We start from the raw sequence: 27865 nt of genomic DNA, 5'->3' as shown, positions 1-27865 counted from the left end.
GAGGCAGAAGTTCCAGTGAGCCGAGATTGCACCATTGCACCCAGCCTGGGTGACAAGAATGAAACTCCATCTCAAAAAACAAACAAAAAAAAAAAAAAAAGAGAAAGAAACAAGGAAGGAAAGAAAGAAAGAACAGAGTAATAGAGCAAATTGGTAATGGGAAATGGGGCATTGCTGTAAAAATAACTGAAAATTTGGAAGCCACTGTGGAACCAGGTAATAGGCAGAGGTTGGAACAGTTTGGAGGGCTTGGAAGAAGACAGGAAGATGTGGGAAAGTTTGGAACTTCCTAGAGACTTTTTAAATGGCTTTGACCAAATGCTGCTCATCTCAGATTGAGATGAGGAACCTGTTGGGACTGGAATAAAGGTGACTATTGCTATGTTTTAGCAGACAGGCTGGCAGCATTTTGCCCCTGCCCTAGAGATCTGTGAAACTTTGACTTGAGAGAAATGACTTAGGGTATCTGGCAGAAGAAATTTCTAAGCAACAAAACATTCAAGAGGTGACTTGGGGGGTATTAAAAGCATTCAGCTTTATGTATTCACAAAGATATGGTTTGAAGTTGGAGCTTATGTATAAAAGGGAAGCAAAGCATAAAATTTCAGAAAATTTGCAGCAGAGTTATGTGGTAGAAAAGAAAAACCCATTTTTCTGAGGAGAAATACGAGCTGGCTGCATACATTTACATAAGTAACAAGGAGCCAAATGTTAATCACCAAGACAATGGGGAAAATATCTCCAGGGCATGTCGGAGGGCTTCACAGAGGCCCCTCCCATCACAGTCCTGGAGGCCTAGGAGGAAAATGGCCTTGCTCCTTTGGGCAGTCTTGGGATTTGGTGCTCTGGCTTAAAGGGCCAAGGTACAGCTTGGGCCATGTCTTCAAAGGGTGAAAGCTCCAAGCCTTGGCAGCTTCCATGTGATGTTGAGCCTGCAGGTGCACAGAAGTCAAGAATTGGGGTTTGGGGCCGGGCGTGGTGGCTCATGCCTGTAATTCCAGCACTTTGGGAGGCCGAGGCAGGCAGATCATTAGGTCAGGAGAATGGCATGAACCCGGGAGGCGGAGCTTGCAGTGAGCTGAGATCGTGCCACTGTACTCCATCCTGGGTGACAGAGTGAGACTCTGTCTCAAAAAAAAAAAAAGAAAAGAAAAGAAAAGAAAAGAATTGGGGTTTGGGAACCTCCACCTAGATTTCAGAGGATGTATGGTAATGCATGGATGTCCAGGCAGAGGTGTGCTTAAGGGGTGGAGCCCTCCTGGAGAACCTCTGCTAGGGCAGTACAGAAGGAAAATGTGAGGTAGGAACCCCCACATAGAGTCTCCACTGGGGCACTGCCTAGTGGAGCTGTGAGAAGAGGGCCACTGTCCTCCAGACCCCAGAATGGTAGATCCACTGACAACTTATACCATGCACCTGGAAAAGCTGTAGACACTCAATATCAGCCTGTGAAAGTAGCCACAGGGTCAGAGCTGCCCAAGACCACAAGACCATGGGAACCCACCTCATTCATCAGCATGACCTGGATGTGAGACATGGAGTCAAAGTAGATTGTTTTGGAGCTTTAAGATTTGACTGCCCCACTGGATTTCAGACTTGCATCATGCCCATAGCCCCTTCATTTTGGCCAATTTCTGGAATGGGTGTATTTACCCAATCCTTGTACCCCCATTGTATCTAGGATGTAACTAATTTGCTTTTGATTTTACAGGCTCATGGGCAGAAGTGACTTGCCTTGTTTCAGATGAGACTTTGGACCATGAACTTTTGAGTTAATGCTGAAGTGAGTTAAGACTTTAGGGGACTGCTGGGAAGGCAGGATTGTGTTTTGAAATGTGAAAGGGACATGAGATTTGGTAGGGTCCAGGGACAGAATAATACGGTTTGTCTCTGTGTCCCCTCCCAAATCTCACATTGAACTGTAATAACCCCATGTATTGTGAGCAGAACCCAGTGGGAGGTAATTGAATCATAGGGGCAGGTTTTTTTTCCTGTGCTGTTCACATGATAGTGAGTGTCTCACAAGATCTTATGGTTTTATAAAAGGGCAGTTCCCCTGCCCACACCCTCTTGCCTGCTGCCATGTAAGACATGTCTTGCTCCCCCTTCACCCTCTGCCATGATTGTGAGGCTTCCCAGCCACGTGGAACTGTGAATCAATTAAACCTCTTTCCTTATAAATTACCCAGACTCAAGTATGTCTCTATTAGCAGCATAAACTGGGCTGTCTCTGTTGTCCCAGATTTCTCTATTCCTTCTCTTCCAGCAGCTCCACCTTGCAGAGATGCTGTCAAATATGCACAAGCTCTTATATTATCAGTGTCTTCCCAAGATGAAGCCAAGTCCTGATGAGCTGAAGCTAAGAGTTCTTTTCATCTTGACATACTGGCAGCCAGCTAACCCAACCATGGCCCTATTTTCTCCAACCATTACTAAACATGTAAGTCCCTTAGATAATCCATTTTCTCTTTAATTTTGTCAGTCCACTTCTGTTTTCTCTGGCCTCTCAAAATTGCAAATATGCTCTTTGTAAAACTTCTGTTCTTTGTTAAAACTTCTGTTCTTTGTTAGATGCCTACTCATCCTCAATTACCTCACTGATCCTTCTTGACACTGGCTCCTCCTTGAGGAAATCACCTTCATCGCAGCTTCTATCAATGGCCGGAAGGCTGTCATTCTCCCAAACCATATTATATTCTGGTCTGTAGTTTTGGTCCACGTCTAAAGGTTGCTGGTTGAACCTGGTCATTCATTCTCTTTTCTTTCTATGTTAAAAGAATGCCCACTTTATCTGAGTCATAGTTATCTTGAGTAAAGCTATTTCTCAGAATTCCTTACAATTGGGTGGCATGAGACTGAGTTAAGTACCTAATGAGGTGTTAGCAGAAATAGGTTATTTAACTTCCTGAAGTGTCATTAAAGGAAGAGAACTGACCCTTCTTCCCATCCCTCCTTTCTATTGGCTTGAAGGTGGATGTGATGGTGGAGCTGGAATAGCTGTGACTTGGGGAATGGAGGCCACAAATGGCACAGCAACAGGAAGAAAGAAGCCTTGATCTTTGATAAGTTGAGTATTCTAACTCATTTGGAATGCTTATGTTTAGACTCCTATTTAAAAGATAAATAAATATCGATCTGTTATTGGATTTTTTGTCCCTGACCACCAAACCTAATCATAACTGACATAGTCAATGCTGCTTTTACTCTACTGGTAAAGCCAGTGATCCTTTGAAACTCATGTTATTTGCCTAAATCATCTTCAACCACGCCTCATTGCTGATCTTTGCTGACCTTTTTTATGCCCACTAATCCTTTGAAGACCTCAGTATCTTCAATATCCATATCCATTTAGAAAATATATTGATTACATTGGCTTCTCAATTTTTATTCTTCTTAATTCCTTCAATGTTTTCCATTTGTATCAATCAGGATACAATTAGCTATGTGACTAACAAACAACCCCCAAATTTCAGTTGCTTATAGTATCAAAGGTTTATTTTTTGTTCCTGTTGCAGGGCATTCATGTGTTTTCTTCACTCCAGTGCCCATGCTGACTTTGCCTCTAATTGGGATATTGCTACTCTTGTGGGAGAGGTATAAAGAAAACAAAGCAAACTAAACCAAAACAAAACAAAACAAAGACACACACACACACACACACACACACACACACACACACACAGAGGGAACTATATACAAGCTGGCTCTTTCAAAACTTCTGCCTGCTCGAAAGTGGCACATATCCCTTATACTCATATTTTATTGGCTAAAGTAATTATTTGGTTAAGTGGAATATTAATAATATTAATAGGGTGAGAGATGGGCAACTTTAGTGGAGAATAATATATCACTCTAATACCTATTGCAATGCACATAGCATATATATTCAATACATATTTATAGGTGGATTGATTGGAATATAAAATCATTTTTAATTGTACAAATTATTTAATTTTATTTTGAAGAAATGTGGGTCATCCAATTTAGTCTTTTATCTGATTCTGAAACAATTTCTATAGTATATGGACAATTTGCTAATCTTTCTTTAAAAAACTGCTTAGCAGGGAGCCTACTATCTTACAACATAATCCATAAATATTTATTTTTACACAAAAATAGTTATTTCCATGGCACTTTGGAAGAATGAAGGTAAACGTGGGCTCAAGCCCCATGTGTTGAACCAGGAAGTCCCTATAAATTTTGATTTTTTTTTTTTTTTTGAGATGGAGTCTTGCTCTGTTGCCCAAGCTGGAGTGCAGTGGTGTGATCTCGGCTCACTGCAACCTCCACCTCCTTGGTTCAAGCAATTCTCCTGCCTCAGCCTCCCAAGTAGTTGGGACTACAGGCACATGCCACCATGCCCAGCTAATTTTTGTATTTTTAGTAGAGATGGGGTTTCACCATGTTGACCACGCTGGTCTTGAACTCCTGAGCTCACGGTCTGCCCACCTCGGCTTCCCAAAGTGCTGGGATTACAGGCATGAGCCACCGCGCCTAGCCAAATTTTGAACATTTTTAATGTTAACTCTTCTTTGTAACAAACTGAAATTAGTCTCCTCATAACCTCTTTCTTCTGGTTTTTAACTTAGTTTGGAGATTAATAAGACCAGGTTAGAAAAGACAGCTTGCTTGACAAAATGAAGAGCACCTACACTCTCTGAAGAAGAGTTTTTACTCAGTTCCAGCCAACTGCATAATTCAGGAACTTGCTCTCATTCTGCCAAAGTTCATGTACCCTAAGTACTAGAAATGGGTTTCAATTAAAAATAGAACAAAATAACACTAACAGGTCAACCACAACACATGATTGTGGCCTAAGTATTCCCAAAACGTGATGACTATTTTCGACAGACATAGTTTGAGAATAATTCCCCCACTCTGAACGCTTTTTGTGGCAGCTTCTTAGTTATGTCTTGTAGTTGAAAATTGATAGAAAAGAAACAAATTTTGAAAACAAGAGTACCCTCTATATCTCTTAGGTGCTTCTTGATTTTTGAGTTTCATAAGAGCACGGCCAGGGAAAGTGAGATTTTATATATATGATGTGGAAAATTCCATCACAATGGGACCGAACCTCGTAGGAAAAGCGATTGACATCTCTCATGCACATGGTGTCTATCTTTGTATAGCTCTAATCATTGATGAAGCTTTTTTGAGCTGAGGGTGGGGAGAGGTAGAGAATAAGAAGTAGTAGTATGGGAGCATTTGAGAACTCCCTTCTGATAAGACCAATAATGAACCATGTTTGTTTATTGTGTAAGCACCCATAGACTTTTTTTTTTTGGCTAAAATTCAATTGTACAGTGTTTCTTCTGCTTGCTCCATGTGTTTGGTTTACTTTAGAAAACAGATTTCCTGTACTAGGTGCTCACAGGCCTTGTATTCAATGCTTCACTCTAGAGCTATGTTATGAATCAGTCTCTAAATTGCCAGTCAGTAGTTTCTGGATTTGATCCTCTCATGTTAAAAATTGGAATATTTCCTTATTCTGTATTTCTGGAATTTGTCATATTTGTCACAATTCTTCAGTAATAACTAATAGTTGATTCTATGATAATATCTTAAGGTTTTGACTCTTGAGGTAAAATTAATCAGAACCCAAGATCTTGAATTCATTTAAAACAGTCCAGTGCTCTGGCATTATTTTGATTTTTGTTTGTTTATTTGTTTATCAAATATTTATTTAAGCCCTAAGTGTTTGGATCTTAAGTTGGGAATGGAGATATAAAAATTAATTAGATACAATTTTGTTTTCTAGGACTCCATGTTTCATAATAACAACAGTTAAAGTAATTGAGTGCTGCATGTGCACAAGGACTACATGTCAGGTGTTTGCCTACTGGAAGCTCATTTTTTTCCTCACAGCATCATGGGGGTGACACTTTATTTTGATGAAAAGGAAGCTGTTGCATAGAGAGATCCAATGAGTTCCTGAAGATCTCACAGCTCATAAGTAGAAGTATCAATATTCAAACCTAAAACTTGTGTTCATATCATGTTACTTCCCTGATTCATTGGCCTTACTTGAAATTCTGTCTGTTATTAACCCATTTGACTACCAGTTTTGGTTTTAAGAACATTCTTCTTAATGAAGAAGCCAAGAGCAAAAGAGGATTTAAAAGTAATGCTTATTTTCTATCACTCACAGAAATAGCTGAATTCTGTCTGTGGGTATACATTCCTGCACAATAGAAGTATGATATTACTTTGCCTTCTCCTAACACTGGGGCTATTTACTTTTCTTCATTGTTCCAACTTTTAACATATTTGAAAATACCCTTTATGTTGTTCTTTGTCCTAAGACTCATTCACACCTCTGCTTTCTCCACATTTCAACATTTCTATCAAAAACCTGTGAAGGTTTCCCATGATCCTTTTATGTGTTCCACTCACCCATACATCCTTGACTCAAGTCATCATCCCGGAGGAGCCGTACTTTAGATGTCTTCTTTCCCTGTGGTTTATCCTTATTAGGCTGATACATAGCTATTACATTTTAAGGAAAATATCTTGCCTCTCAGTATATTTGATAATAGCAATAATTTTTCTTGTCCCCTAAACTGCTGGAAATCAGTTTCTCTTAAGTCTAAAATGCATGTGAGACCAGGTCTAGAACTGCTTCCCTGGATGAATGTGCCAAGATACTTTTCTCCTAAGCTTCCTACTGCCTTAGTTTCATCAATAATTTTTTTGATATAATAATCATCTAAGTCTAGAGCAGTAGTAACCTTTGTTAATTCTACTCTCTCATCGGACATAAAAAGTTAGCAAGGTAACTTCATAACAATTGCTTTGCTTTCATCAGTATAAGATTTCCAGCCAAATCTAAGTAGGTAAAATTCCCCAGTTCTTAGTAAATTTCTTTGCTATTATAAAACAATCCATTTTAGAAAACCTATTTCATTTGCTCAGTGTTCTCAATAGTCAGTAGCATCCAAAAATATTCCTGATGAAAGTGTTCTTAATATAGAGTCAGATCAGTGTACAAGCCGTGGTATCAGTTTCCTTTTACCAGCACCATCACCTTTAGTGATAACTAGTCTTCTCAGAGTCTTTTTACCTATTACAAGATGAAATCAAATGGCATAATGTGAAAGAGTATTTTAAAATATAGAAATTATTTTAATAAAAATAATTCCAGGATGCCTTGCGTTTTTCTCCCCCTTTGATGTCTTTACCTAAATGAATATCCTTTAAGCTAAAATCAGATAGGCCTTAGGTGGTCATTTGTTTTGTTTGTTTTCCTTCATGTTAAACACTAGCTTAAATAAATATTACAGAACTTTGTGATTTCACCAAAGTCAGAGTCAAAATATGTTGATATGTATTTGTATGTGTCACAATTTAAGATAACACAACATTTTATTAACCCAAAGATTATTCGTATGTCTTACTGGTCTCACAGAGTAATTGTTATGGCAAATATGTTTCCTTAGGACTCAATCATCTATAGAAGTCTGCAGTTCTATAAAATCATGACATTCTTTCAATTATTTATATAAAAGAATATAACTTATAAGTTCATATGCCTTGGTATCAGACTAACTTGTGTTTGAATTTTGGCACAAAAAATACTGGTTATGTGATGTTAGGCAAGAAGTAATTTTAACCCTCTGAGGTTCAGTGAATTCATCTAAAAATAGTGATATAAATTTTTACTTGCTTACTGTGAAGAATAAGCAAGGTATTGTGACATATTGTGCATTTAAAGTTCGTTATTACTTATTAATTGCTATAATCATTCTTAAAAATGCCATAGCATACCATTATCAAATTAGGAGTCCATGGAAAGCTGTACAACAGTGTTGCACAACTCCAGGTGGTGCAAATGGTATTTCCATAGCATTTCATTTACATGGCAGGCCCTGCAGTTGCACAAAGTCTTGGATTTGAACTCAAGTACCTTATTCCATTGTCTCCAGATTCTACTAATTCAGCAAATATATGTAGCCATTCAGATCTAGTCAGAGACTGACACTGGGTTAGATGGTGGGAAAACAAAGACAAATGAGAACACTATCCCTTTTTAATACAGTATATCATTTAACAAAAATAGTAGATAATTATGTTAGAGGAAAAAAAAAAGAATCAAGACCCTTTGTTTTCACCTGCAATTCTTTAGAGCATGTTAGAGAAAGGCTTCTTCTCTGGGCGAAGAAGTTAGAAAAAGTTTTTTCTTGCAAAGTTGTATGGGACAGAATGCAAGTTTCATGCCACAGCTCCATAGATTGAAGAAGTAAACCCAGGTTCAGTTAAGATCCTAATCATGTTTCCTTAGCAAGGTAACTTTGTGCAGAGCACAACCTGCACGACCGTACTTGGAGATGCTAAGTTTACGGTAATAAAAAGAGGATGCACTTTACTTTGGATATACCATCACGAAAAATTCACAATTATGCAAATTAATGGAACTTCAAAATTTTGCGTTTGCATAAAGTCACATTAACATGTCTTGGCTCATTCTTGCATTTAATGAAATATGAGTCTTGTATTTACAATAATTAAACAACAATTTAAATCTTTACTGTAGTCTTTGGAGAAAATGCCAAAAAGTGTTGAAATCATACAGCAGAACTTCTCATTTTTTATTCCTTTATGTCTTTCTTTCAATATCTTATATCCATGGGCAAGTCAGAATGGAGGAAATATTCTTCCTGTACCACTTGCTTAAGGCCCCCGATTTTTATAGAAATTGGCTTTATTTACAGGTAGAGTGAATATAAGTGTTGTATTATAGTGTGATGTTATAAAAATTCTCGTTTGCAGACATTGTTGAAGTCCATATAGTTAGTGAGTTAAGCTGGCATATATATTTCTTTTATCCAACACTAGGCAAGTTAGTAGTCCTGTATTACAAATTGCTTTTCTCTCAAAAGTCTTGTAAAATATACCACAAACTAAAGTTTAAATAAAACCAACTGCTGTATTTCCTTTTGACTTCTAACCCTAAAAGCTCAGGAAAAGTATATACACTTTGGGATAGGGAACAGATAATTAATGGTTGCCTATAATTCTGAAGCTGAGCATGTTCAATCTGGGTAATTACACCAAATCAGGCAGAAACACTATTATCAGCTTTTAAATGCTATTGTGCCACTAGGCTTTTTACCTTTGTTTTTCCACTTGAAATGAGACATGACACCATAACTGAATATATCCTGAAGTTGATGACAAACTTTAAAATATACAAAAGTACTTTCCCCCTACTGAGTACTCAAGAACAGTTCTAAAAGTAGCTGGGGCCAATCTCACAAGTCTAAAGATAACAATGTATTTTATGTGATCTTTCTAAATTCTCTTCTGGAGGGACACCAAATACCTTTATATTTATAATTCCAATTTGAAGCTTTTAAAAATGCTTTTCAAATCAACTTTTACCTATTTTATTGGTACTCTGTTCTGTTTGAGTGAGAGAACAGAGAACAAGGTCTGAGAACAAGATGAAGAAGCAGAACATCCTAGAATTAGAATTAATAATTAGAATTAGTAAGTGTATGAGTCGTTTGGCCCAATACCCCAATTTTCAGGTAAGAACACTGAAACTCGTTGAATTTAGTATTTTTTTAAGTCATCCAGATTGCTTGTGGCGTATCAAGAACTAATATCTGATTCCCGTCAAGGAGAGCGCTTCACTACTCCAGGAGTTTTGGGTTTCAGAGCTCAATCTGATGTCAGCTATTTAACAAGAATTGAGAAAATAAACACTATTCAAACTATTTTATTGATTGATTGAGATAGGGTCTTACTCTAACCCAGGCTGGAGTGGAGTGGCACTATCATGGCTCACTGCAGCCTCACTCTCCTGGGCTCAAGTGAACCTCTCACCTCAGCCTCCTGAGTAGCTGGGACTATATTTTATAGTGTTGATTTTATGTCCATCATTTTAGCTGCAACATTGTTAAATAATCATAGTAACTTCGAAAACATGTGACACAACAGTTGGGATAAGCTAGCCAGAGGGAGAGAGAGAGCGAGCGCAATAGATGTGTAATTTCAGTATTTTCCAAAAGTGGTTTTTGATCAATAGAACATGTATTCTTCTTAATTATATTTTACTGTCATCATGGATATAGAGAAAATGGAGATTAACTCAGGAGAGAAAGTACAAATTGCTTTTCCAATTACTCTTTTTCTTTAGTAATTTTTAAACCCTTATTTTTAAAAGAATTTTTGGATAAAGTAAGATCAGGTTTTTCTTCAAAGCTCTTCATTCAAAAGATTTGGAAATATTTCCATCAAGAGTATAACACAACATAAAAATTATGTCTTTATCATTTCATCTGTTAAGTTTATTCTTAAAAAATTAAAGCACTAGCTTGTGGAAAGAACAGAAAGAAGCTAAGGTCATTGAAGTTATTGAAAGTCATTAAAGTCATTGAAATAACCATTTCAGATATAACATTGGTTTGAGAAAAATTTATTGTTTTGGATTTTATGCATTTTAACTTACAATGATGCTGAGACATCTAATTGAAATGGGCTCATAAGCAGGGAGAGATCTGGCTCATAATCTCATAAGTTCTAGTTAGTCATTTAGATTGTGCAAGTTTCCCAAGGGATAGTTAAAAAGAGGACAAAGGGTCAAGAAATAGACCTCAGAGAATTCTCATGTTTAAAAATGAGATTAAAAATCTGAGAAGTCGGAAAAGAGAAATCAACACAAGAAGCATAGGAATTGAAAGGGTAGATGAAAATTTAGATAAAGTAGTATTCCAAAAGCAAAGCAGAAAAGCAGCTTTGGAAGAACTACCGTTAAATGAGTCTGCATGGTGCGGGAATTCAATGAAGACAATTCACCCAGTGTAACTGAGAGTCGCGTGGTCCTCCATGATGTGTCTCTCACTCCCACTTCCCTGTGAAACTTGAGAATTGTAACTTACTGATTTGCTCTGAGCCCCATCTCCAAAATTCTGGCATCATTCTGGGTTGAAATAAAGGATCACAAGTATGTTCTCAAAAGTTGTTTACCCTTGTTTACTCTTTGTTTAGATATGGTCTGTCCCCACCAAATCTCATCTTGAAATTTGTTTCCCACTGTGGCAATGTTAGGAGGTATAATCTGTAAGCTGTAGAGCCTAATGGGAGGTGTTTGAGTGATGGGGCTCCACTCTCATGGATGGCTTAGTGCTATTCTCACAGTAGGCAGTGAGTGAATTTTTTCTCTGGCAAGACCAGATTAGTTCTCTCAAGAATGAATTAGTCCTCCAAGAGTGGGTTGTTATAAAGCCAAGATGCCCCTCAGGTTTTGCCTATTTGCACATGTCTACTCCCCCTTTAACCTTCTGCCATGTTGTGATATAAGCATGAAAGTCCTCAACAGAAACCAAGCAGATGCTGGTGTCATGTTTCTTGAACTTCCCATCCTGCAGAACCCATAAGTTAAAAAATCTCTTTTCTTTACAAATTACCCAGTTTCACGTATTCTGCAATGGCAACACAAAATGGATGAAGACAACCCTAAATAGCTGTAGACAGTTATATAAGGATGAATAATCAGCATTGAAACAATTGTATCTATAATTAAATATATAGATTGTTTTGCTGTTTATTCCTCTCCTTGAGTGATTATTTTCTTCATTGATATACTGAATTTTCCAATCTGATTTCTTCTTTCATAGTCTGTTACCCCAATGCTGCCAAGACTGTGTGCTCGTTTTCATCTTAGATTTTTAGATCTCAGGGGTAGATGGGCATCACTGTATATATAGCCTTATTTCATGGGAAAGAAGCAGAAAAAACAGGGTTAGTACTTTGCCAAAAAATACAACTAACTGGCTTCAGAGACTGGTATAAAGTTTCCAGGAAGACATTATGAGTTAACTATAATTTCTCATATTTTAAGTGCATACTTTATACTGTAATAAGGACAGAGATATTTTATTAGAAGATAATAATGGCTAGATCTTAGCTTTACCATTACTGTATGAATTTGGATAAGTTACTTCAGTTTTCAGCGCCTCATTTTTCTCATATATAAAATAAGCATAATAATAGTACTTTTAAAAATAGGTTTGTTATAAAGATTAAATAGATGAACACACATCAACTCTTAGAACAGTGTCTCCAAGTAGGAAGCAGTCAATATATGTTAGTTATATTATTGTTGTTATTGTTGTTGTTGTTCCTTGGTATATATAAAACAAACTTTGAGCCTCTTCTTGAGGAATGCATACTACTGTGTGCAATTGATTTAATAAAATGTAACTTAAACTATATTCCTAAGAAATTTATGGACTTGAAAATGTTTAGTTTGATTCAAGCTCTGCTATTTATTATCTAAATACACTTGGGAAAGTCATTTAAATACTCTGGGAATCAGGTTATTCTTTTGTAAGATTTGTTTCTAGCTCTTCTCAGGTTGAATATCATATCATATTACATTCACACAAAATAACTGTCAGGTTTACTTAAAGCTTATTTGCATATATAATTCCATAATGAATTTCCAAAATAAATATTACCATAAATAGTAAAAAATATTTGACAGAAAAAAAATCTGTCTCATGAAGTTACTGTGAAGATCAAACAAATAATGAATATGAAAGAATAAATTATAAAGTGCTATATATATGCAAGACACTATTTTTCTTATTTGACCCCTCATGGAACACTAAATCCAATGGAACCCTATCCCACAAAATTATTGCTTAAGATAGAATGCAGAAGCAAGTTGTGATAGCACCATTTATTTTCTCTTGTTTATACGTACCTGATTTCCTTTATTTCCTTGCTTCCCTGTCCTTCCCTTCTTTCTTCCTTTTTCCTTCTACCCAATATTTTGAATGCTGCTCCATGCCAGGTCCCGTGCTACATATTCCAAATAATAAAATATATTTTCCCTCAAGAAATCTCATTGTCTAGTATGGGAAACACACTTACAAAAAAGTAATAAATTATAAGTGCAACAATAAATATATGAACTGGATAGGGAGGTTTAGTTATGTAATTATTATTTTTTAAGACTATGTTTTCATCAATTGGCATTCTCCTTTTATTACAAAATCTTAAAACAAAACAGAAGTCTTAAACTTGGAGTCATAAGTACCTTGGAATAACAGTTATTATATATTTAGGGTACTGAATGTATAATAAAATAAGAAAATGTAATAGTTGTCAGATAAATTGAGTACATTATAGTTAGATAACTTAATCTGAGCAGAACCGCAAAAGGAATTCCAGAAAACATTTCGAATGAGGCTTTAATCTTTTCTTTGCATCCTATCCTTATAGGTATTATTTTTTTGGTTATTTGTGGTAATTGGGTCATATCATAACCTTTTCCACCTTCTTAGCTGCGTCATCACTGAACACCTTCCTGTGTGCTCCCGTCTTTTCATCCACCCATCTGTCTGACTGCTCCATTCGTCTCCTGCTGTGTCTCATTCCAGTTGACTTCTAGCTCAACTTTGCTCCCACCCACCTCTTCCTTTTATGCTCCAATGCACAATGAGCTCAAAATGACATCAAACTGATCTCCCTTTACTTAAAGGATCACACCACCATTGCTGCAAAATATAGGAAGTTTCTAAGTTGATTCAGCTTTCTTGTCTTTCTGTCTGCTAGTTAAATGCCATTTTTAAAAGAATTCAGATTGCTTAATTCAGACTGTATCATTTTGAGTAACTCTTCTTTTGCGGAACTTGAAGATTTGTTTCTAGCTCTTCTCAGGTTGAATATCATATCATATCATATTACATTTGCAAAAAATAACTGTCATATTTTCTTAAAGCTTATTTGCATATATAATTCCACAATGAATTTCCAAAATAAATATTACCATGAATAGTAAAAAAAATTTGTGGGAAATAAGTAGTCAGAACTATACTTGAAACTTTTAAAAGCATATTTTTGTCTATAATGTCCTTGACCTAACAGGATAGTTATCAGCTTGTTGGTTATTATGTCTTACTGAATTGACTAAATTCTGGGGAGAGGGAGGAAAAACATAACATAAATAGTTAGATAACAAAAGGCAGTTATGATAGCGATGGAGGTATGCTTACTGGAATAATAGCCAACATAATTTAGCCCTAAGTGTCATGCACTGCTTTAAGTGCTTTATACATATCTATTCTCTTAGGTAGGTATTATTATTATACACATCTTATAAATGAGAAAACTGGGACCATAGATTATAAGTAACATGTCTGAAATGAGCTAACTAGTAAGAGGCCTTTCCAGGGTTTGAGCTCAGGCACTCATGTTTCCAGAGCCCACTCACTTAACCTACAATATTAAGCCCTCCATCCACCTTATATATGTTTTGCATAGAATCTAATAAATGAGCTTACCAGAGGCAATCAATAGCCCATGTCTGAAATATGTATTTTCATAGTAACACTCAAAAAAGCAAACTAAAGTCCAACAGAGCTTGCTGATGAGCTTGTATAATCATAACTTGGTTTCCTCAGGAGGTTATATAACTTCTTTGAGCCTCAGTCTTCCTGGGTGTATAATGAGGAAAATTATAGGCTATCTTGTTGGGTTATTTAATGGACTGCATGAAGTACTAACACAGTGGGCACACAGTAAGCATCTAACAAATAGTAGCTATTTTTTTAGTGTTATTATCTACTAGTAAGTGAAACAATTTTAAATGGCAGTCTTTTAAAAATTCATCTCTTCTGTTTTATAAGTCCAGCATCATTTAGTTATTTGCAGTGAAGATACTGAATTTAAGACCACAGGCTTTCAAGAGCAGCTCTTTCTAAGAACATCTGTTTCCAAATTTGCAAATGTGGAAGTTTTTGTAGAAGTTCCCAGCTTTTCCATCTCTTTTTGTTAAGTCATGTGTTTCCTGTGTGTTTTCTCATAAACAATTTAATTATTTCTTTTCTTTTCTTTTTTTTAACTGACACTTCTATCTTTTCTTGTGGACATTTTTGTCAAAAGACTAATGTTAATGAATGTTAATAAATGAATGCTATTAACACAAGATGGGTAGAAAAACCACAAAGTTACATTGAAATGTAGATACAAGGAATTTGTTTCTTGACTTGTATTTGTACCTTAGAAAAACTAATAATTACAGCATGTCATTGATCTTTCAGGTTAGTAAAAAAAGTAGAAACTCAGAGTTAAATCCTCAAATGCCACAAGCCTAGAGAATTCACTAAATATTTGGTGCTATAAGAACACTGGGTAGTCCTAACATATGATTGAAGTTACAGCACACCCCAAGTATTCAGTACAAATTACATTCTATTTTCAAGTAGAGAGAAGATACATATGTTCTGTTTCTACAACTTTAATTCAGATTGTTATGTATAGCAAAATTTGAACTGTATTTTGCTAATATTTTCTATTAAAACAAAACAGAAAACAGTTTGTCCATTGGAGAAAATAAAATTCATGTGTTTATAATTAATTCATGGACAGCCTCTGAAATATTGCTTATGAAACTAACTACCTGATATCCAAGAAGACTTTTGGCTGTTTAGAAGCTCTGTTCTTAACACAGGAAGTCATATTATTCTGAGGATAAACAAATGAAATTCCCCAAAGATTTAAAGCCAGTTCAAAAAGGTCAGATGGGTTCTAATATTGGCAAAATCATATTTTCCAGATGCAGTTTAACAAATGTAAGGGTTGCTTTTTTTTGTAAATAGAAATCCCTTAGCCCATCAACATCCAAATAAGTGAATATTAACATATAATTTAAATGTTTAGTTTTAATTGTATAACATTATCCTCAATGTAAAAATCCTAAACATGAAGCCACCCCAGTGACATGTTTGGAAAACTTAAGTTAAAAACAGAGGAAAAATCCAGATTTGTCTTGAATTCTCAAAATTGCTTATTTGAGCTTTCCTAAATATCTAATATCTAATATACTAAAGGTAATATATTAGACCTTTATTTCTATTTTACTTTAATAGTAATGGTGACTGTTTTTTTACTCCTTTACTCTAAGGCATGAAATCAATTAGAAATAAATGTATTGTGTGAGAGCTTTAGACAAGGAGATGCAGTTTTATATTATTTATCTAACTTTGCATTGTATATTATGTATTATATAACTTTAAAATGTAAACTTTCATTTGGTTGATCTACATATGTTTTATATAATTTTTATGAATATGCCACAAATAATGGTCTACAACACACTTACAGCTTGTGCATCCATGAAATTACGCGGTTTATTTTTTTGGCAAGGAGAAAGTTATCATCAGTGTTGTACCTAGGTTGCATTGAATAATTTGTCCAGGATTTAACTTTTCCTTTACTGTTAAGATTATAGAAAAAAAAAGGTCACTGTGTATTGTCTGTTTACTTCCTCAGTTTCTGTTTAATCTTTAGTGCCCAAAAATGTAGCCGTTTCTCCTTTTTTCACAGAAGCTGAGATTATGATTAACTATAATGTCCTACTTGCCACACAGTCCACCATCTTCATCTTTCCCTAATTCCCGTGGTAATTGCCATTACTATCTTTCTTTTACAATATTACTGAGGATTCCGTTACACCACACCTCTAGTTTTTCTTTCTATTTTTCTGGCTGTTGCTTCTCAATTTCATTCATTAGTTCATATTCTTCTGTAGCCCATAAAAGGCTCATGTTATGCAGGATTTCTCTTCAGCCCTGTTTTTCTTTTTAGTCTCTTTTTCACTTTAATCAAGCTCAACTTTGTCTAGGGTGTCAATAACTACATAAATTCCCATGACACCCAATTTTTGTCTCCATGTTAGATTTCTATCTTTAACTCTAAATCTATATATCCAACCAATAGTTGGAATTCTGTAACTGGAACTTGCTTCAAGTTTAACAAATTTAAAATAAATTTAGCACCATCCTTCTCAAACCTGACATTTCTTTCACACTCGCAATCTCAGTTAGTAACCACACCTGGTTGCTTTAATGAGAAACCTGGGGATAATATGAGACTTATTCTCCCCTATTTATTACATCCAGTCAATCACCAGGTCATGTTGATCCTACCCATAAGAATTTATTGCTTCTCTTCTGACCCTTTGCCACCACCATCTTCACTTGGAAACACATTGTCAATTGTCTAGACCATTTTAGTACCTTGTTTCCAGTCTTCCTCATTCTAGTCTTTTCTCCTTTCCATTCACTTTCTTTAAAGATCTTCTTCATCTGTCACTCACCTCTGTTTGGCATCAACTCCTTCCTATATATATTTTGAACTCTCAAAAGATTGAGTTTCATGTACCTTTCAAAGAAGCCATGCTCTGTCATTCACCTTTGTAATGGCATAAGCTCTTTTTTCTGTCTTCCTATTCTATGTCCAATGCCATATATATGGCTTCCAAAATGAAGCCATTTTTCGTCTTTTCACTAAAGTTGCTCTTATTTTAGATCTCTCTATTGTTCTAATATATCTGTCTATAGGCTTATATCTGTATTTTCTTTCTAAATATGTGTTGTAGATTCATTAGAATTTTATTTAATATTTATTTGGTGCACACAATACAATGTTGTGTGCTCAACATTGTATTAGATATAATTATCAGAAGTAAATAAAAGAAGGATTCCTGCTCCCAGAAGCTCAGTTTTGCTGGTAAATCTTAACTTATGTATTATTCATCTCTTCTCTGAAGGCTTTTCTGACTTCCACCTCCCCAACAAGTCAGACTCATAGGCAACTGTCACCAAGGTCTCAATGTATCATAAATTTAGCTTTTTTGTATAAATTATGTTTTATTAATTTACCTGTACTACATTGTAGGCCATTTAAGTTCAGGGAATTTGTCCTTCATCTTTCAATTCTTAATTTATAAGAGCAACTCAGTAAGTAATTTTCTTAATGAATAAATGAATGCAAAACTTTGGAAATGTCTACAAAACTCTCTGAGCTATTTAAATTGTATTATATCGGGATTTTAGTTTTTTATTATGTATACCTTTGATTTTTCTATTTGACTTTTGCTTTTAAAGATTTTAATTTAAAATATACCTAAATATAATTAGAAAATCATTTCCTTTGAACTTTACCCAGTTATTTATTGGAAATGAACACTTTAATATGTATAGACAAGACAAAATAGAAATCAAGGCCATTATTTTTGAGAAGCCCATATTCTAATAAGGGAGACAACAGTTCTTCATATTTGTATTCTAGATTTGCTAAAATTTTATTTATTATATTTTGAGGAGTGCCTACTATATGTCTGACACTATGCTGGATATTCTGGATTTTTAAAGAGTAAAATATGGTTTCCAAGTTAAGAATTTTGTTTTACAAATAAAGAACTATTGTTGCTTGCTCATATCTACAGCAAAAAAAAAAAAAAAATCAAATGATATTAACTGTGTTTTGTGAACACTTCTGTTGTTATACATTTATTTTAATGAAGGCCTCTACCTAGGTCAAAAGTGTTAACATGGCTTCTAACATGGTTTGGCTGTGTCCCTGCCCAAAATCTCATCTTGAATTGTAATCCCCATTATCCCCATGTGTCAAGGGTGGCACCAGGTGGAGGTAATTGGATTGGTGTTGGGGGTGGTTCTCCCGTGCTCTTCTCATGATAGTGAGTGAGTCTCAGGAGATCTGATGGTTTTATAAGTGTCTGGCATTTCCCCTGCTTGCACTCACTCCATCCAGCCGTCCTGTGAAGAAGGTACCTATTTTTCCTTTGCCTTCTGCCATGATTGTAAGTTTCCTGAGGCCTCCCCAGCCATGCTGAATTGTGAGTCAATTAAACCTCTTTGCTTTATAAATTACCCAATCTTGAGTATTTCTTCATAGCGTGACAATGGACTAATACAGCTTCCTTATGTGAAATGTAAGATTTGTGAAAAACTAACCACTTGCCTTTATCCAAGTCCTATATTTAAAAGAGAACCTCTTATTTAAACAATTAACTTTGGGCCTGGTGTGGTGGCTCACACCTGTAATCCCAGCACTTTGGGAGGCCAAGGTGGGCGGATCACAAGGTCAGGAGTTTGAGACCAGCCTGGCCAACATGGTGAAACCCTGCCTCTACTAAAAATACAAAAATTAGCCAGGCATGGTGGCAGGTGCCTGTAGTCCCAGCTACTCAGGAGGCTGAGGCAGGAGAATTGCTTGAACCCAGAAGCAGAGGTTGCAGTGAGCTGAGATCACACCACTTCACTCCAGTATGGGCAATAAAGCAAGACTCCCTCTCAAAAAAATAAAATAAAATAAAATAACTTCAATAATGGAAGTGTAAAAACAAATGCTGGAGACAGTAATGATAAAATCTTTTGTTATATGAGAATGGTGGCAGAATATGCCACCCATAAATATGCTACTTTGCCGTAATAATTATTTTGAGCTAAAGACATTTGAAAAATAGTATATACTGACATTCTGCCCTTTATGTCCCAGGAGAAAAGAAACACTCTTATCACCAAAGAAAGGAGAAAGCTACCATGTGAAAGATGGTCTATTGTTCTAGGAGGTACCTCTCTGTACTGTCTTGTCACCAGAGATGGGAGATTGAGGCTGAGAAAAATTTATACAAACAAACCTTGTTAAAATAACTCTTACCTTTCTTCAGCTTCCTCATTCATTTCAGTTACTTTTTAACAATTGGTACTGTTTGTTCAACCTAGCATAGAAGCATTTAGTTTTTGCTGTTTCTTCGGGTCTTTACTTTTCTGTGGGGATTCCCAGCTACAGGTAAACATCTATGTGCTTTTCTCTAGGTAATCTATTTTAGTTAGTTTAATTTTCAGGCCCAGACAGAGACCCTAAGAGGGTAGACATAAAGTTTTGTCTCTTTGCCATATGCATAGTGAAAACTGAAGTAAAAGTGAAAACAAATCATTATCTATATTATATATTAGCTATGTTACATAGCTAATAGATATATTTAGAGGTGTGAAAGCATAGCAAGTTTGGAGAAATAGATTGCATTGACATACAGTCTTGAGTCTTCCCATCGTATAAGATATTCTGTTTTTCTCTTTTCTATTTTCTTTTTCTTTCTTTCTTTCTTTTTCTTCTTTTTCAGGGTCTTATTCTGCTGCCCAGGCTGGAGTGCAGTGGCATAATCATGGCTCATTGTAGCCTTGAACTTCCTGGCTCAAGTGATCCTCCCACCTCAGCCTCCTGAGTAGCTGAGGCTACAGGCATGCACCACCACACCTGGCTAAATTTTTAGATTTTTTTTTTGTAGAGTTGGTGTCTCTCTGTTTTTCCCTGGCTGGTCTTGAACTCCTGGGCTCAAGTGATCCTCCTGCCTTGGCATCCCAAAGTGCTGGGATTACAGGCATGAGCCACTGTGTCTGACCAAGATATACTGTTATGTAGCATTGTTTATTAAATATGCTAGCACTCATTTGCTTTTAGGTTAGAAAACAAACAACCAAAAAGCCTTAGTTTAAAAGAAAATCTATGTTATGTTATGGCATGTATGGCTACAAAACACATTGAAATTTTGTGCCAGAATATTTTTGTTCATAGTCGTAGATAGATTAAGAAAATGGGAGATGTGTCTTAGTAATTTTAATGTAGATTATTGCAAAAATAAATGGCGATTTACATAGTGAAATAATAGCAGTGTTTGTTTGTGTATGTGTTTGGTAAATAGGATGTGGAAACTACACAAATGTAAAAGGTTAATATTTCAAACAACAGTGTATAAATTTGATATTCCATGAAGAATTGTTTCTTTAAAAGTGAAGTTGTATTTCAATACATGAACATTTTTTAAAAATGAGTTTATGTAAACACCCAAGTAGCTCATCTTCTGAGGAAATGTTACTAAGGCAAATTTCTCAATTTTTAAGTTTCCAGTATTAAAAACATAGTAAGTATGGTGGTAGTTATAGTTCTGTTTTTACTGTTGTAAATGCAGTGTAACTTGGAGTACCTCTGGTTAAATGACAAAGTTAAAATGATATTCAATATTTCCTGTGGATTCATGTTAATTTGTGGTTTTAATTTGTTGCCATTCACAGCAGAACAATTTCCTCACCAGGTTTCCTCATTGAAAATAATACTCAATTTTCCAGAGCTCCTACCACACAATCTTTAGAAGTAGAGAAGTAAAATTGATTTTCAATAAAAAGGCTGATTACATCCTTGTACAATGTCCATTATCTCTAAAAAAAAAAAAACCTGTAGTTTATGATACTATGGATTCAAATGACCTCATCACTCTTAGTTGTAATTATCTACCATGAAATATCTAGATATTTTCCTCATTACCAAGAGAAGAGAGAGCTCATTTAATATTTGCTTTCTTGGCCACGGGTTAGTTCCTAGAAACTAACTTTGTTAAATAAACGAAATGAAGAACAAAACAAGTATGTATAAAGAAAAACTTTTCAAAACGATGGAGCCAAAGATGTTGCCTTTCCTCACTCCTAGGATCTGTCCAAAATGAATAAGACATAAGGAACTGGGGGAATAAAATAGCCACCAGCAATGAAATAGAGAACAGTAGCAACTATTTCCTGTTAAACTTCAAGACATTTTTTTCCAGATAGTCATACCAAGTTCAACATGACTCTTGGAACTGATACTCAACTTCTCTTCAAGATATCAGAGCACTGTTGTGAGAAATTAGCTCGGGAAATTCCCTCAAATCTCAATAAATTCCCTGATTAGGAGAACTCATAAAAAAGATGGAAGCTCCTTCTTCTACTCTAGATAAATAGCATCTCATGTCTAGTGCTAGAGTTGGAAGACAGAGGATCTGACCATGTCTCATTGTTTCCCTGAGGTTGTTAATTTTTTGATCTACTCCTCTTGTGGAAGGAAAACAAATATACAAACAAATAATACTTTTTGCCATACATTGCCTTCACACATTGCTGTATATCAGTTTCCTTAGATTTATTGTCAATCTTAATGGTAACGATGAAGAAAAAAGAGGCAAACTGGAATAAAATCACATATGTGTATCTGTGCCAGCCACATTATCTCCAGAGCCCTCAAAGTTAACTACCTTTGTAGAAAATGATGCATAACAACAATGGGCCATTGACATCACTTCACAGCTGCTGTTAGAGTGGCTGAACTGCTTCAGGAGAGTAGACAGAGAGTGAACAGAGACCAGAAACTGGACTACTCCTTTTGCCTATTAGTAATCTTCATGAATGGGATTAATGCCCTTATAAAAGAGGCCTAAGTGAGACCCCTTGCCTCTTCCAACTGTGAGAACACAGGAAGAAGATGCCATTTATAAATCAGAAAGTGGGCACTCATCAGACACCAAATCTGCTGGTTCCTTGGTCTTGAATTTCCCAGCCTCCAGAACTGTTAGAAATATTTTTTTTGTTGTTTATAGGCCAGTTTATGACATTTTATTGTAGCAACCTGAATGGACTAAGACAGAAAGTTGGTACTGAGAAGTGGGGGTGTTATAACAAATATCTAAAAATGTGGATGCAGGTTAGGAACTGGGTAATTGGCAGAGGTTGGAATAGTTGAAGTGAATGCTAGAAAAAGCCTACATTGTTATGAATAAAACATAAGGAGTGATTGTGGTGAGGGCTCAGAAGGAGAGCAGTACAGTTATAGAGATAGCCTCAATCTTCTTAGAAAATACCTAAGTGGTTATGAATGGAAGAATGTTGCAGAAGTATGATTTGTAAAGGCCATTCTGATGAGCTCTCAGATGGAAATGAGGAACATGTTATTGGACACTGAAAGAGAGGACATCCTTGTTATAAAGTGACAAAGAACTTGGAAGAATCATGTTCATGTTCTAGTATTTTTTTGGAAAGTAGAATCTGTGAGTGTGCAAGTGGGTATTTGGCTGAGTAAATATCTAAGCAAAGTGTTGAAGGTGCAGCTTGGTCCCTCTTGACCACCTGTATCATTAAAAGTGAGGTGAGAGAAGTTATTTAAAGATGGAATTGTTAATCAAAACCGAAACAAACCTTAAAATTTTAGAAAATTCTCAGCCTGTCCATATTGGAAAAAAAAATGAGAAAGCCTGTTTGGGAGAGAGCAAGGATTTGGCCAAATGATAAGAGATTACTATGGATTGTATGGATGGACCATCTCAACTGGAGCCAGGCACTATTCACCAAGATGATAGGGAGTTTATTTAGCCATCTAAACAGCAGCCAGGACCCATTGTCAAAAAAAATGGAAGAATGACCCCCAAGACATTTCAGGGATCATCTAGGCTGCTCCCACAATCAGAGACCTAGAGTGCTAAGGCCTGGGGTGAGAAAAATTTCAAAGAAGGAGCTGCCATTGCCCAATGATAGCACAAATCAAGGACTCTGCTATTCTTACTCCATTGCTTTGTTTTTTGCTGTCCCAGGTGCAGCCCTGACAAACCCTAGTAAAGTGAGCATTGTGCCCAGCAAAGCTATGGTGGCATAGTTACCTCCACCTAGATTTCAAAGGATGCTTTGGAGAGCCACAAGGTCCAGGCAGGAAACTGCAACAGAGATCCTCCATCAAGGCAATACCCAACAGAGCCTTAGAGGCAGTGCCTCCTTTGTGACCCTTGACTGGTGGAGCCACCTGTGTGGCATGTGAATTCCACTGTGGAGAGCCACAAGCAATCCAACCCATGAGACTACAATATGGGCTGTGTCCAGCAAATTTATGAAAGCAGGACCACCTAGAGCCAACCTTTGCCAGGCAAAGATTCAGAAGCAGAATCTCAGTCCTAGTGTGTCCAGAAGGCAGGATCTCTGGCCCAGTAGATCTGGAGGGCAGAACACTGAGCCAAAGAAGATTATTCTAAAGCCTTAAGATTTAATGTTGTATGCCCTGTTAAATTTTGGACTTGACTGGGGACCTGTCCTTCCTTTTTTCTTTCTTATCTCCCTTTCAGAATGGGAATGTCCATCTTATGGCAGTTCCATCATTATATTTTGGAAGCACATAATATGTTTGATTTCACAGGTTAATGATTGGAGAGCAATTTGCCTCAGAATGAATGACAGATTGAGTCTTACTGAGACTTAATCTCTATATGTACTTTGTAAAATGCATGCTCTGCAAGATATGCCTTGGAAATTAGCAGTTATCAGTTTTGTTGTGTCACCTATGGTAAAATAACATATACCCTGACTCAGTTTTCCAACATATGGTTTAGGTAAAAGTTCCATATTTTTTTGTTAGCATTGTACAAACCTTGTAAAGAAAAATGGTCAATTGATATACAGTATTATGTACATGTTGGGTGTAGTTTTTCAGAAAGGAGACATTCCAAAATCTCACAGAATTTGGTGTGACTTTGGAGGAATGTAAAATAATCATTTGAAACTACCTTTTACAACAGTGGACCAATAACAGAAAAGGGGAGAAACACCAACTGAAAGCCTTGTATGGCAAACCTTTTGTTCTATCAAATGTGTTGCCAAAATGGCTGCCTTACTCCAATGCAGGAAAGTCATCTGAAATTGGAGTTGGACTTTCGTTGGTCATGAAGTCTTTTCTTCACCCTTTTTTAGGCTGGGTGGACCCCTGTTGCAAAAGTTTCAGCAAATGTAGGGAAAAGGCAAACAGAGACAAAATTACCCCATTCCCACAACTGTAAATGACTTTCCACCAATTTCTTAATTAATGTTATTAACAATATGAGTCTACATTATGTTTAAAATTAGTAGTGACTTTCCTCTAAAAAAGCATTAAGTTTAATGTTAAATAAAAGAAAAGAAAAATAACAAATAAAACCTTGGACATGACCTATCACACAAGAAAATAAGATAAAAGTTGAACAAATGATATTAAATTATAATGATTTATGTATTACATGATTACATACTGAGAAAACCAAACTACTAGAATTAAAATTAGTAAATAAACTGCCAAAAATAAACAAAAACAATAACTCCCTTGAAAATGAATAATAATCACTTTTAAAATACAATTAAATAAAGATATAAAGCACATAAACTTACCAAGAACTATGCAAAGCATACATAAAAACAAAATACTGGTGATCATAAAAAATGGTAAGTAAGTAAGAAATATCACATGGTCTTGGCTAGAAATATTTCGTTGACGAATTTTTCCCAATTAGCCTGTGTATTTTGTATAACAGCAATCAAAATTACAAAGGGTTTTTAATTGAAAAATTTATAAAATATATCCTGAAAAATAAGTGGACAAAAATATCCAGCCAAATTCTGAAAAAGATGTGTAATGAAGGGGACTAACCTTATCAAATATGAAAGTGTCATTTAAACTAGATTGATTGAAACTGTAATGAGAATCCAAGAATGGACAGATCAATTAAAAAGAACAAAGTCTCTACAAATTAGCAGAAGAATTAAATATCTGACAAGAGTAGTTTTTGAATCACTGAGCAAGGTTCTGGTTATACAAAAAAAAAAAAAAAAGTGAGAGGCAATTGGATACATATTTGAGAACCAAAATAAAGAAAACAAATAAAGCTCTTATGCCTTGTATAAGCATAAATTCCACATATATTAATGATGTAATTTAAATACTAGAAAATATAATAGATGAATATTTTTATAATTTTGATATTCAGAAGCCCTCTAAGCACATGTCAATGGTAGAATACACAGAGTAAAATATTGATATACCTGATTAAGTACAAATTAATACATTGTGTTTGGCAAATACACTACAAAATATTAGAAAAATTATGCTGGAAATATATATTTATGAAACACCTATTCTAATAATGTTGCTAGTTACAAAACAACAGAAAATTACTGGTTAACATTAGCCTAAAGGTTGTTTTGGGAGTTGCTCACAGAACCAACAGGAAGGCTTGAGAAGCAAGTTTAATTAGAAGCAAGATGGAACAAGTACAGCAAAGGCACTGTACCAAAATGGCATATTTTCACTAAGAGTTCATGGGGAAGCTTTGGGGCTTTTTATTTAACACAGGTATCTCAAATTATTTCTAAAAGACTCTCTGTATTGAATTACCTCCTCTAGATTCAATATCCCCCACAGAAGCATCTGATTGGCCATCCTTAGGGCATTTGACTCCAATGTACTTGCTATACTAGGTTGGAGAGAGAAAATGGCATGTCTTATTTGGCTTCCTGAGTGGGAGGCAGCATGGAATTCTCTCATATTAGAAAGGATATTTATTTTTTCGGCAGCCTGAACAATTATTCTCTACTAAGAAGTTTATATTTCTTTTCATTTGAAAACCTTTTGTAAATCAAATAAGGAAAAAATAACCAAATAGGGAAAAAAAGAGCAAACAGCACAAAAATGTAATGTAGAAGTAGAAATACAATGACTAATAAGCCTATCACATGTCTAACTTTTCTAGTAATCAAATAGTGCAAATTATTGAAACAATTAAAATAAGAAAAAAATTGATTAGCCAAAAGTATTAAAGTTTTGAAATAGCCAGTGAAGTTAGTGAAGATAAGAGGAAATGGATACTTTGATACAGTGTTGGTGGAAATATAAGTTGATTGAATCATCTCAACTATATTTGTACCAGTACATTAGCTTCATAAAAGCTGCCATTCTTTTCTGTTTTGATTATTGCCATATTCAAAAAGACTACAATAGTGCCTGAGAAACATTGCAAATTCTTAATAAATGCTTGTTCAGTAAATTAATATCAACATTTAAAATCTAATGGTCTTTTGCTATATAATTCCACTCCTAAAAGTTTACCCAAAGGATGTAAACATGTGTCTTAGTCTGTTTTGTGCTATTATAACAGACTGTCACAAACTGGGTAGTTTATAAAAAACAAAAATTCATTTCTCACAGTTCTGGATGCTGGGAAGTGTAAGATCAAGATGGTGGCAGGTTCGACTGGTGAGAGTTGCATTCTCCAGATGGAAGAAACATTGTGTCCTCATCTGGTGGAAGGTGGAAGGGTAAGCTACCAAGCACTCTGCAAAGATCCTTTAAAAGGGTCTTAATCCCATTCATGAGGGACGAACCCTCATGACCTAATCACCTCTTACAGACTCTACCTCTTAATACTTTCACATTGGCAACACCTGATTTTGGAGGTAATATATTCAAACCCATAGCAACAAGTATGCAAAATAGAAATCAAGTATATACAGATTTTACTTTGTCTATTAAAGTGTGAGAAAAACAATATGAATGCTCAACAATCAGTTACTGGTTAACTATATTATGGTCTCTACAAGTAGTGAAATATTATATAGTTTTAAAAATATATATCTATATTTTTTAACATGAAATAATGTCCATGACACATTACTGAGTGCAAGAAAAGCAGTTTGCAAATGTTCCATTAGATCTGATTTTTATTTTTTCAAAAGGAAGTTACTATAGGTGCATACTTATCTAGACAGAGCCTGCTAATTATATACATCAAAATAGTAAGAGTGGAATATCCTCTACCCCTTTTTTTCTTTTCCCCTCCTGAATAATTCAGTCCAAAACCCATTAGGCAGGGTGTCTATAAAGGTAAGGAAATGACACCAGACAGTAGTTGCAATCCCTCCACAATTCTCACTTCCAAAGCAAACAAAACAAAACAAAACAAACAACAACATTCTTGACTAGTACTTCTTATTTTTCCAGGCTTATTTATCCTGGTTCCCTGATCCTCAAAATTTTTGTGATGTATAATCCAGTGATTGTTCTGCCTGACATCTCTGCCTCTCCCAAATATTCTTCTTTCCTTTCTTATTAGCCTAAATTCCATCACTTTCTAACATACACCCTCAGCTTCCTCTTCTCTCCCTTTCTAAGCAATCATTCTGTTTTCTTGGGAAATACTAGCAAAAAGCAATCCCTACGTTGGTAAGTTATGTCAGGTAATGGTAACAGCTATGGAGAAAAATAAAGTGTGGATGTAATTTTATATAGCATTTATTGTGGCACTATTGATAATAGCAAAGACTTGGAACCAACCCAAATGCTCATTAATAATAGATTGGATAAAGAAAACATGGCACATATACACCATGGAATACTATGCAGCCATAAAAAAGAATGAGTTCATGTCTTTTGCAGGGACGTGGATGAAGCTGGAAAC

General features: G+C 35.5%; 2 long non-coding RNA genes across 3 annotated transcripts in view; one reads left to right on the top strand and one right to left on the bottom strand.

Annotated features, from left to right (window-relative positions):
- The first annotated feature begins 1711 nt into the window (after nucleotides 1–1711).
- Nucleotides 1712–27644, top strand: LOC105374147 (uncharacterized). 2 transcript variants are annotated; one of them, XR_924566.2, is made up of 4 exons: nucleotides 1745–1783; nucleotides 2267–2440; nucleotides 2971–3066; nucleotides 26617–27644. It is a non-coding gene; the product is annotated as an uncharacterized LOC105374147 (long non-coding RNA). The 2 variants fall into 2 exon arrangements; XR_007096282.1 differs by lacking the exon at nucleotides 26617–27644 and having other exon boundaries at nucleotides 1712–1783; nucleotides 2971–7476.
- The window catches only part of LINC02046 (long intergenic non-protein coding RNA 2046), a 119066-nt gene continuing 102730 nt past the window's right edge, over nucleotides 11530–27865 (bottom strand). The window contains exon 5 of the long non-coding RNA NR_146712.1: nucleotides 11530–11709. This is a non-coding gene — a long non-coding RNA (long intergenic non-protein coding RNA 2046). The remainder of the gene's footprint in view (nucleotides 11710–27865) is intronic.

The sequence above is a fragment of the Homo sapiens genome, chromosome 3 (assembly GCF_000001405.40).
Source record: "Homo sapiens chromosome 3, GRCh38.p14 Primary Assembly".
NCBI classification, from domain to species: Eukaryota; Metazoa; Chordata; class Mammalia; order Primates; family Hominidae; genus Homo; species Homo sapiens.
The sequence above is the reverse complement of the archived record's forward strand: the minus strand, read 5'-3'. Positions and strand labels throughout refer to the sequence as shown.